The sequence below is a fragment of the Homo sapiens genome, chromosome 14 (assembly GCF_000001405.40).
Source record: "Homo sapiens chromosome 14, GRCh38.p14 Primary Assembly".
NCBI lineage: Eukaryota > Metazoa > Chordata > Mammalia > Primates > Hominidae > Homo > Homo sapiens.
This window is the reverse complement of record NC_000014.9, coordinates 87,821,142-87,834,067: the sequence shown is the minus strand read 5'-3', so window position 1 is coordinate 87,834,067 and position 12,926 is coordinate 87,821,142. Positions and strand designations below refer to the sequence as shown.

Below are 12,926 nucleotides of genomic sequence, written 5' to 3'. Positions count from 1 at the left end.
CTCCTATTTTCCTTGGCATCTAAGAAATTAAGTTAAATTGGAAATTGCGGCCATTAGGCTGATCTACATGCCTCACTTGTTATGCTCTATTGTTCCATGACTTCTACTTTATATTTTCCTGAGTAAAAATTTACTACTTATAGATTATCATTTTTTTATTATATAAAGTTTGAAATCTCACCTTCTATGCTGTCTCCTGTTACCAATGATTTAGGTCTCTTAACACTAAAAGATACAACAAAGCAAGTTGAAGTTCAACAACAACAACATAGGAGGGAAGTGAGTAGCTACTCCTGTATAGTGTTTACTCATGTATCAGAAGGTTCTAGTCCCCCTTTTCTTCTAAAGACTTCCTTGGTAATCTAGTTGGCAAAAAGAGGGTTGCTGTATATTGACCTCTCACAGGTCCACCGCATGGCTTGTTCCTCAGTTCCTCCTAATTCTTAACTGGCTTGTTTTGCTTGGACTTTGATTCTGCTCATTCTGTTGCCATTCACTTCCCAGGACTCTAAGACCATCTGTGTCTCTACAGCCACACTGGTCTTGGAGAAAGGGACAATGTAAGAAACACCACACTCTCCTGTTTGACCTGGACCAAAGCATGGGCATTACCTTGTCATTTCCCAACAAAAAGTTGACACCAGGATGCAATGGTGAAAGTTAAAAGACTGTTTACACAAATAGATTTGCATAAGGCAGAGGAACATTTTGTGAGCCACCTATTTCAACAACCTACTTTTTCATTTATCAATTTAAAAGTGGATAAATAAGGACAACCTAAGATTTAAGAAAAAGAAAGATCCCCCCAAAAGAAGACAGAAATGAACAAACAAAATAGCTGACTCAGAGGAAACAAAGTAATTTAGGAAACAGAAACCAACTTTAAAAATGTTCTAAGATGTTGAATCCATAAAACATGAACAAGCTGTCTAAAAGAGGAACAATCAGAAAATAAAATGATTTGTTGAAAATTAAAATTGTGAGTGCAAAGTATAGAAGATCAGTCTGGAATTCCAACACTCAGTGAATCGAAAGGACTTATAAGAAGGAGCAAATGGAGAAAATGAAGAGGAAGAGATGATGATGATGACAATCATGATGAAAATGATGTTAATAATAGTAGCAGTAGTAATATTAGTAGTAGTAATTGCAGTAGCAGCAATAATAATGAATTAATATTTTCCTGAACTAAAGAAGAATACATGTTTTCAGATTGAATGTTCTCAGCACTGAACAGGGTACATGAACAAATGTCCACTAATACATACATACTGTTAAAATGTTAAAGCTTCAAGAATAATGAGAAAAATGTGAAGTCATCTATAAAGACTTAATACATTACCTACAAAGGAACACAATTTTGATTGACATAAGACTATCTACCTGCACCATTTGTGGCTAGAATAAAATGGAACAACAATTCAATGGGAAAATTATTTTGAATCTAGAATTCTTACAACACCAAACATTTCATTCCATTCTCTTCTTGCTTGCATGGTTTCTTATGAGAAGCCTGCTATTAATTTTTGTCCTTGTTTGTCTATAGTCAGCATGTTTTTTAAATCTGGTTTCTTTCAAGATTTTCCCTTTGTCTTTGGTTTTCTGCAGTTCGAATATGATACGTCTATCTGTAGATTTTGGGGGTTTTTATCTTGATTTATGTCTTCTGAGCTTCCCAGAAATGTGGTTTGATATCTGTTATTAATTTTAGAAAGTGACCAGCTATTATTTCTTCAAATATATCTTCTGCTCTTTTTTTCTCTTCTTCTGCTATTCAAGTTACATATATATTATACTTTTTGGAATTTTCATACAGTTCTTGGATGTTCTGTTCTTTTTTATTCTTTTTTTCTCTCTGTATTTTAATTTGGGAACTTTCTATTGACCTTTCATTAAGCTTACTGGTTCTTTTCTTGACTGTGTACAGTCTACTGATAAGTACGTAAAGGATATTATCCACTTATTTTACAATGTGTAGTGAGTTAAACAGTGTTCCTCCCACAATATATATCCAAGTTTTAACCCCCAGTACCTATTTGGAAATAACAGTTGGCCCTCCATATTATGGTTTCTGCATGCACTGGTGGATTCAACCAACTGTGGGTCAAAAATATTTGGAAAAAAACAATTTCACAAAGCTCCAGAAAGCAAAACTTGTACTGCGCACTGAGTACTCCATTGAATCCACATGAATGAAGTGATGTGTAGGCATTGTGTTAGGTAATAAGTAATCTAGAGATGATTTAAATTACACTGGAGGATGTGCACAGTTTATATGCGAATATTATGACATTTTATAGAAGAGACTTGAGCATCTGTGAATTTTAGTATCCGTGGGGGTCCTGGAACCAATTCCCCATGGATAACCAGGAACATCTATGGCAGATGTCTTTGCAGATGTAATTAAATCTTAAGATAAATGCAGTGACTTGTAGTTTTAGAAGAAGAGAAAATACAAAGAGCCACAGAGGAGAACACCATATTGAAGATGGAGGCAAAAACTGGAGAGACACATCTAAAGCCAAGGATTATTGGCAACTACCAGAAGGAGGTAGGTAAGAAAGAGATTCCCAGAACCTCCAGAAAAACACAAACCTGAAAAGACCTTGATGTCAGACTTCTGGCCTCTGGATTGTGAGGAATAAATTTCTGTTCTTTAATTCCACACAATTTTTGATAATTTGTTATGGTAGCCCTAGAAAATGAGCACACAATGTTTTTGATTTCTAGTATTTAAAAAATTCTTTCTTAGCATTTCCATCTCTTTGCTTACATTACTCGTTTCTTCTTGCGAGTTGTCTATTTTTTCCCATTAGAGCTCTTAATATATTAATTGCAATGATTTAAAAAATACGTGTTTGATAATTCCAACACCCATGTCATGTCTGAGTCTGGTTCTGATGTTTGCTTTATCTCTTCAAACTGTGTTTCTTCTTGCCTTTTGGACTTGTAATTTTTTGTTGAAAACTCTGCATGTTGGATATAGGAAATGAGGTAAATAGGCCTTTCATGGGAAATTTTATGCTAATTTGGCAAGGAGTTGGATTGTGTTTAATATTGGCTGTAGCTGCAGGTGCCAGACTTTGAATTCCTTTAGCGACCTTGTTTTATCTCCTCTGTTGGCTTTGGGCTTACCTAAGTACTCCTCCTCAGGAGGAGTCTGCACTTTGCTGCTCTTTCAGCTGTAATCCATTCTTTGTACAGGAGCCCTTTTGTTCTGTTGGCAAAATGTTGGGGAGGGGAAGCATTTCTAATCTTACGATTAAATCTCTTTCTTTTAATAGAACTGTGTCTCAGGGCTGTGACCTTCATAGGTGTTTCTTAGTTTTTCTAACCTCCTTGACTTAGGTGAGATAGGATAGCTAGAGGGGACTGGAGTGAGAAAAAATGCCCTTGCCCCAAGTGGAATAACACTCTGATAAAATCCTCTGGCCTTTGTTATGAAGAATGCTGACAATGGTTCCTTTTTCCTTTTCCCTGCCAGAGTAACTACAGGATCTTTCTTGCCTTTTCATTATGAAAACTTGGTCAAACCCCAGGAAATAAAACTTAGGAATGTGGCCCTTAGGAGGCTCTCATTCTCCTGCTAGTATACTCAGCACTGAACAATTTGCCAAAATTACCATTTAAGTGTTCCTACGTGTTTATGACTCCAGTGACTTGTCTTCCAAGCAAACAGATCTCTGTTGGGATTTGGATTTATTCATCTCTCCAGGTTTCAAGGTGATAATTTGCCCTGAGATCTCAGTTCTCTGGTGGATCCAAGACAAGTCACTGATTTCAGTTTTTTTTTCAGCCTTTTCTTATTGTAAAGATGGGAGTGATAATTTCCAAGTTCTTTACACGTTAAAGCTGAAACTAGAGGTGATTCCACCCCAAAGTCTTTTTATCCTCACTACAAACTATGTATCTAGTGAGGGCAAAGGTAGAGACCTTTTTTGGACATGCAAGGACTCAGATATTTTACCTCTAAGACCTACTGTCTGAAAATAATATATATACTCCAGAAAAATTAAAAAGAATTTCAGACTTCATTTCTCAGAAGATGGAGTGGCATACTTTTTCCTGTTTCCTCCACCAAGTACAACAAAAAAACCTTGGACATTATATATCAAACAAACATAAGAAGACTCTGGAAGCTGGAGAAAAGAAGGTAGACCAGCTAAGGACCTCAATAATTTTTTTGTCTCATATATCTCAGTCTTGGAATTGAAGAAGCTGGCAACCCAGTAACATAAATGGAACAGACAAAAAAGGCCCTGACCAAAGCCTGCTCTGTCTAGCCAAAGGACTGGAAAGTCAGCCAACTGAGACAGGAAACTTTTAGACAATAACTGCTCTACCTAAGCCAAATACCACAGGAAAAAACAAAAAAACAAAAAAAACTGAGGCTCCACCTCCACCCATGCCAGCAAAGAGCATCATGGGGAGCCCAGATTTTCACCTTTGTCAAGCTGTAATGAGGTAACCCAATACTCTACCAGGATGGGGTCAGAGAAGGGTAAGTAGAGAGCAGGACTTTCACACCATTCTATGGTAATGAGACTACATTTTTCCCCCCACCCTACCCACGTGTTAAGGAAGCCATGTGGTGAACAGCAATAAGGCACTCCTATTCTTCCTGAACAGGACAATATCTGTGGAAACCTAGTGGGGTGAAGGGGTTCCCACTCAGCCCAGCAATAATGAGGAACACCCTTTCTTGGGTGTCACTGGAGGCCACGTAGGAAATTTGGACTTTACCCCGACTTGGCAGTAATAACATTTGGTGCTCCTCCATCCCATGCCAGAGTGATGTTGGAAGAAGCCAATTAAAATGGAATGTCTAAATAAGAACCAGAGTCTTATAATATTATAACCAAAATATCCAAATTTTAAGTGAAAATCATCTATACCAAGAGCCAAGACATTCTCAAACTGAATGAAAAAAGACTACCAATAGATGCCAGCAAAATGACAGATATCAGACTTACCTAAATTTGAAAGGGGCCACTATAAAAGTACTTCAATGAGCATTAACAAACATGCTTAAAACAAATGAAAAGATAAAAAGTCTCAGCAAGGAAATAGAACATGTAAAGAAGAGGCAAATGGATATTTTACAAGTAAAATATATAATAATCAAAATAAAAAGCTCAGTTGGCAGACTCAGTGGCAGAATAGAAGGGACAGGGAAAAATGAATGAAAATATTTCTATCTCCTCTATGAAGTCGGCAATTTCTATTGTTAAGATAGGATGATAGGCTGGGCGTGGTGGCTCACGCCTGTAATCCTAGCACTTTGGGAGGCCAAGGCAGGTGGATCACGAGGCCAGGAGATCGAGACCATCCTGGCTAACATGGTGAAACCCCGTCTCTACTAAAAATACAAAAATTAGCTGGGCATGGTGGTGTGTGCCTGTAACCCCAGCTACTCAGAAAGCTGAGGCAGGAGAATTGCTTGAACCCAGGAGTTGGGGGTTGCAGCGAGCCGAGATCATGCCACTGCACTCCAGCCTGGAGAAAGAGTGAGACTCTGTCTCAAAAAAAAAAAAAAAAAAAAAAAAAAAAAAGGATAGAAATGACCTTGTCTGGAAAACAGACTAAAAATAAAAATGAATAAAACTTTAGGGACCTGTGAGACTCTAACAAAAGATCTAATTTTTGTGTCATTGGATATCTAAAAGGAGAAAAAAAGAGAGCAGGGCAGGGCTGAAAAAGTATTCAAAGAAATAATGGTTGAAATTTTTCCACATTTGGCAGAAGACATAAATCTACAGCTTCAAATAGCTAAGCAAACTCAAATAGAATAAACATAATTAAATCCACATAAAGAAGAATTAACATCACTAATACACAATCTCTTCCAGGAAATACAAGAAGAGTTCACACTTCTCAATTCGTTTTATGAAGTTATTTTTCAATGATACTAAAATCAGACAAAGACAATACAAAAAAAGAAAATTAAAGACCAATATTTGTAATAAATATATATGCAGAAATTCTTAACAAATTATTAGCAAATAAATTCAGCAATACATATAAAAATGACCACATAGGCTAAATTCCAGGGATGCAAGGATAATTCAATATTTAAAAGTCAATCAGTATCATCCATCATTATTAGCAAGCTAATGAAGAAAAAAATCACAGTCTTATCAATTGATACAGAAAAAAGCACTTGATAAAATTCAGCACGTCTTCATGATAAAACTTTCAGAAAAGGCTGGGTGCGGTGGCTCATGCCTGTAATCCCAGCACTTTGGGAGGCTGAGGCGGGTGGATCCTGAGGTCAGGAGATCAAGATCATCCTGGCCAATTTGGTGAAACCCCATCCATCTCTACTAAAAATACAAAAATTAGCTGGGCATGGTGGTGTGCGCCTGTACTCCCAGCTACTCGGGAGGCTGAGGCAGGAGAATCACTTGAACCCGGGAGTCGGAGGTTGCAGTGAGCCGAGATAGTGCCACTGCACTCCAACCTGGCAACAGAGCAAGACTCCCTCTCAAAAAAGAAAAAAGAAAAAAACAAACTCTCAGAAAATATGGATAGAAGGGAACTTAACCTGATAAAGAGCATCTACACAGAACCTACAGCTAATGTTATAAATAATGACACAAGACTGGTACATAGATACCATGAAACACTATTCACCAACAAAAATGATCAAACTGTGGATATATACAATTAATTGGGTAAACCTTAGAGAAGTATGCTGACTGTAAAAAAATCAAACTCCCAAAGGTTACATACTGTATAACTCCATGTGTATAACATGCTTAAAATGACAACATTATAGAAATGGAGAACACATTACTGGTTGCCACTGGTTAAGGTGGGAGAGAAGAGTGTGGCCATAAAAGGGAGACATGAAGGATCTTTGTGATGCTGGGAAATGTTGTGAATCTTAACTGTGTTAATGTCAATATTCTGGTTTTGATACTGCATTCTAGTTTTGTAACATGTTACCGTTGGGTTAAACTTGGTAAAAGGTACCTGGGAATCTCTCTGTATTATTTCTTATAACTACATATACATCTATAATTATCTTGAAACACACCAACATGGCACATGTATACATATGTAACAAGCCTGCCCGTTGTGCACATGTACCCTAGAACTTCAAGTATAATAAAAAAATTAAAATCAAACATTCAATTAAAAAAAGAAATCCAAGAAAATTACAGACATGGATATAAGAAAATGTGGACACAACCTAGGAATATGATAAAAAGAAATACCAGGATGAAAAAAATGCAGCAGGTATGGAAATAAGTTAGTCCACACTAAAACATGGAGTAGAAAGATCCCTGGAAAATATGTCCAAGAAAAAAATGATATCCTTCAACCAACAGAGGGTTGAAGACACTGAGTGATCTTAGTAATACAGTGAAAGTATACGGTTTAATTATTATGTATATATATATATTTAAAATATGCTGCTCTATTTCTACTCCTCCAAAGTTTTGATAATTACTTTCTCCTTTGAGCAGAACATGTTTAGTGATTTAGTATTACAGTGTTTTCTCTGCTGGTCCAATTATATACTTCATGGCTTGCAGTGAGTAGTATATACATAATCGTGTTGTTAAAGCTAGCTTTTGGCTTTCAGTTTAGAATCAACTTATAAGCAAAGCATGAAGCCTTAGTATGCTTTTGTCATTAATATAAATGTTACAAACCTTGACATTGACCATATAAAGTTAATGACATGTTGGAATGAGGGGCAGATGGGAGGCAGGAGTTAGAAGGCTATGAGGAGATATTAAGTCAAATGTATCCTAACTTCCTCATCCTAACATATTGTCTAAAGTTAATGGGTCAAAACCTTGTGTAAAGTCAATGGTTTCGGGACTAAAAATTCATAATTTAGACATGTGAATATAACTCATAGAATTTAAAAAAAAGTGGCTGGCAGAAATATCAAAGAGTATGAGAGGTGGTGTAAATGAATTAATTCCTCATTTTTCAAAGCATGCAGTTAGTACCTAATGCTTCAAGTTATCAAATAAGAAGAATAAAGTATGCAAACATTTTAATATTAAGGAGTAAGTCAGTAAGAGCTACACAAAAGAAGCATTTATGTGTGGTTACTTCTAAATAGTGGGACTCTTGGTTGCAGAGAGGGAAAGAAGACTTATTTTTCATTTTGGGCCATTTAGTACTACTTGAATTTGTGCTACTATATGAATAATTTCTTTTTTACACTTATAATTATTGTTATTAAAATAGAAGTGAAAACATTTCCATAAAGATTTCCAAGATCTTGAAAAAAATTTATGTATAAGGGCCCAAAGTCAAAGTATTTGACATGTAGATTTTTGGAAGAAAGTTTATCATAAATTCATAGTTATTTTAGCCCTCAAACAATGGCAGTAGGATGGATATTCTGACTTCAGAGTTAACCTGAGGATTTGAAAATTCTTCCCTTCCTCACCATGATATACATCAGTATATGGAGAAGCTAATCAGATATTCATGTAGACCTTCAAATAAGTCAATCCTTTGAAGATTCATACCTTAAAGCCGAAAAATCCAAATGAATTTGATGCTAAAAATTGAGACAGGTAGGAGGAAGATCTCTGGCAGGGCTCATTCCTAATTCCAGAGAAAGGAAAGGCCTGTCTTCTCTAGTGTGGTCAGATTTAGAAGGCTAAGGTATTGCATAAGCATCACTGCATGAAGGGGAGAATCTATATACAGTCAAGGTTCCAGCAGGCGCCAGGGAATGAGAGAGATGGAGAGAGACTGCTGAAGACTCTGCCAAGTGGGCGTAAGTGATTGGTCCTAACCTGCCCAAGCAGATAAGTGACTCCTTCTCTATGGGGCAGGCTGGGTGAAAGGATAGTAAAAAGGACAATCACTTTTCTCCCAAGTTCTTTCAAGAGGAAAGACATTTCTGTTTTAAAACCCTAGGCAGGAACCTAGGGAAAGAGATCGGTTCTCTCTCTGTATGCTGTGTCTTAAAGCTCACCTGGGCCATTGTCCATAGTCACTGTACATAAATCAGCTAAATTAATTGGCAGAAAACATTCATTTCTTCCCCCAGAAAAAAAATCTTAATAAAGAAGAGCTGAATATTTTTTAAAAAATGAGAATAGCTAAACTAGAATTGGAATTTAATATGCCATTTTTTTTTATCTCAGGCTTGAATCAACCAAACTTGAGTCAGTTAAAGATACTCCCCCAACCTTTTTATTTTTGAGGTGGCATTGACACCACCACCAAGGAAGAAATCTAGATGTTTATTTTTATATTTTAATCTAGTAAAGGAAATGTAATTAGATAATAGTTATTTACTTAACACCACTAGATTTGGAAGGTCAACTCCCAAAATGCATAATTCAAGACCATTACCTAAATGGAGAGGTGATGAAAAAAAGATTTCTATTGGGTTGTGGATAATATTAAAGCCTTTTATATACTTTTAAATATTAATTACTTGGGTTGATGTGATAAATATAAAATATGTTAACATTTAGGACAGGAAAACATTAATTTTCAAATAGGAATGGTAAATAAGTGTGTCTTACATGTCAACTTCAATCAAGTGTTAGCAGTTTACTGGAACAGTATGTTGAGAAGGATTCTGAAGCCACATCTGGGATTAATTACTTATGCCTACCAAGACTGGGAATGGATAGCATAAATGTCATGTTATTTATCATCTATGCTTTGGGAGAACCACATGACATGATTGCATAAACTGTTTTCTGACATTAGATTCCAGATCAATTTCCTCATTTGTAAGATGAGAGTTAGACTAGATAAGGGGTTTTCAAACTGTGGTATGAGGGGCTTCAGTGTGATGAGGGGGATTGGGGAAGCCCAGGGAGCAGGTTCTTGGCTTCCTATTCCTTCTTCAGCCACAGAAGTTTCACTTTGTATGTTTTACCGACTGGCTTTCATATCAGCTTTTGGTTGAACAAGAGTTTTTTTAGCTAAAAAGAGTTTGTAAAAAGTTGTTCTTTAAGATTCCGTTAATTATTCTGTGGTCTCCTTTATTCACCCCACCCTCCCACAAGGTACTGGCTAAGCAGAAAACATTCTCAGAGGTGTAGCATTTAAGTTGGGCCTTGAAGGATGAGTAGGAGTTCTCTCTGTGTGTGTGTGTGGGGTGTGTGTGTGTGTGTGTGTGTGTGTGTGTGTGTGTGGTTAGCGCTGTGTATCAGTATTTCTAAATGAATTATAAACAAGAGATCAATCAAGATAAATTCAGAGAGACCTGTTACTGGCTGCCCATCCACTGAGGGTGGCCCTCAATGCATCACCACAGTTTGGTGGATTTGCAAACGCCTAGAGTTATTCTTAGAGAAAGGCTGTTCTAACATCAGATGTATAAACCAAAATCCAAGTCTATTCACTTGCAAAGAATATTATACCTACCAATTTCTGGATTATTTAAAACTCTTCCCCAAATCCATGAAGCTAAATTGGTAATCAAAAGACTATTTGGTGAGCATAGAATGGATGCTTTTGATAAAGCATTGGAAGGTCATTGGCAGGTATGTGAATCTTCCTGGACCAGGAGAGCATACACCTCTCTCATCTGCTAGGTACTGTCTCTGCCCTGGCCAGGCCAATTTAAACCTTCACAGCTTATCAGCTTGGACTCTCTTCCTAGATGCACAAAGGCTGTCTACTTTAGTATCATCCTGTTTTTGGCAGTTGCCTAGATTTCAGCTTTCCTTAGGTGCATCTGAGGCCTGAGGAACCTCCCTGTCTCTCTGATTACTTTTGAGTGTTTCCAGAGCCCCTGCAGCTGGATCGTAGGCTTGGGTGGGGCTGCTGCTATCCATCCTGTGCTGACTTCACCCAGTCCCCTCTGAGAAGGTGGCTTTATCTCTGTGTTCAAGAGGCACCTTATTGTTTCTTTATATTTGGCTCTCAATCTTTCATGTTGCCCTCTTCTCCTTTTCCTGTAAAAAATCAAAAGTCCGCTGTGATCAGCCGACACGTTCGCTTTCCTCTTTCAGAAGCCCACACACACTTGGGCCCCACCTTTGGTTCCAGCTGAGCTGAGATTGAATATGACGGTGGCTGGAGGGCACTGCTGCCCTGATTGTTCTTGGAATTCCTGAACACTCTCCTCTCTCCCAGGAATAGAAAACCTACTCTAATTCGAGCAGTTAAGCCCATTTAAAATCAGAGATGCAAACTCTGCCTTATAAATTTTGATGGGGATGCCTTCTCGTGGAGCTTTGTGTGCCATATGTTATAAGGTATAATTATACAATTCTGGAGTTCAGGGTGAAAACATTGACTACAATTTAAAAGGGAATTAGAGACGGCCTGTGTTTGGCAAAAGTTTCCCCTGACTGGGAGACAGCAGATCTGGTTGTCCGCTTTGAATGAGGGCTGCTTCCATTTGGAATCATACTCGGCCTCCAGTTCCTGTGGGATGTTGACACGTGCATCCATTGAACATTAATTTATTAAATATTCATGGTATTTCAGGCACTGGGCTGGTGCTATGGATATACAGATGAACAAGATGGGATTTCTGCCCTCCTGTTGTTCAAAGTCTAATGAAGAAGGTAATTAGAGTAGAATAATAATAACAATTATAATCAGCACATTGAACTAACATACACTGTGGGATGTAATCAGAAAACAACTCTCTTCCTTCCCTCCAACACCCATTTATACCTACTCTGTAGGGCTAGATGAATCCAGGAAACAAATTTTGAATGAAATCCAGGAAAAAAATCTTATGTCTTTTGTGATCATGAAAAGACCTTCTAAGACCTTCCTTGTATCAGTGTGACATGAACATATACCTTGATTAGTGATTCCCTACCTGATTCTCCCTTGATGTGTGTGAATGCGTTTTGGTTCTAACTGGCCACTTACAGCTCCTTCCTCAGCTCTTAGGCATTTCCAACTTATTTTCCTGAAGTCATCATTGACAGTGACATTCGTGGGTCCTCTTGCTGGCTCCTTCTTGCATTTGGCCTAGATGTGGCCAACAGAAAACACTCAGGCCTTTTTTTTAATGCCAGTAAACCCTCAGAACCCAGGCCAATGAGGAGCTGCATCCCCTCTCCACTAGCAGAGGGGAAGAGTCTGTGGTTTTAGTATTTCTCAGGGCTGAATCAGACACCAGGCCCATCCAAGTAGTCCTTATGAAGCCCCTTTCCCCAGCTTGAGGTGAGGTGCACCCTTACCCTTGGGAGGGTAGACCAAAAGCACACCCACAGCCTCTTAAAACGAACTTTTTCCCCCAGGAATGGTGTACTTATGATCCTTTTCTTCCCTCAGGATGAGTGAGGGCTAGGAGTTGCAAAGTGTCCATTTACACCTTCTTGGCCAGTCCTGCTTGGTGGCCTCCATGTTCACTTTGGAATGTGGAGATAGTTGTCCTTTTAATGTTCTAGCACACAATAATAACAAAACAAAAAAATACTGGTTATACTTACAGGATGCTTTATATGACCCAAGCACTGTGGTAAGAACATCATAAGAATTACATTAGTACAGCCTTACAGACAGGTACCAATATGATCTTGCTGCAGTTAGGGAAAAGAAGGTTGACAGAGGTTAAGTAATTTGCCAAAGGCCACGCAGCTAGTAAGTGATGAAGCCTGACCAGTGTGCAGAGAAATCACATTCAAGCTGCTCCCCTCGTGGGCCGGAAATGCTTGTTCTTCCCCCTCACTTCCCCAGCCTTCTCTGTCCTTCAAAGTCTCATCCAAGTACACGCTTTTTAGAAACTTCCCTGGTGACTCTGACCACTGCTGCGTTTTCTCTTCTGAACTTCTGTCTCTGCTTGTCATGGACAGTTTGCTAATTGCTTTATGCGGATTAGTCTGCTTCCTGACTTAGAATCAAAGTGTGAGTAAGAATAGAGTAGTCCCCCCTTAGCCAGGGTTTCATTTTCTGTTGTTTTAGTTACCTGCCATCAACTGCAGTCTGAAAATATTAAATGGAAAATTCCAGAAATAAAC

The 12,926-nt window shown here is 38.0% G+C and overlaps 1 annotated feature.

Moving 5' to 3' along the window:
* Positions 3,187-3,731: an enhancer, noted in NCBI's record as "OCT4-NANOG hESC enhancer chr14:88296681-88297225 (GRCh37/hg19 assembly coordinates)". NCBI's record gives its function as "activates a minimal SCP1, AML or CMV promoter by ChIP-STARR-seq in naive H9 embryonic stem cells {active_cell/tissue: H9 hESC(naive)}" and the evidence as "EXISTENCE:reporter gene assay evidence [ECO:0000049][PMID:30033119]".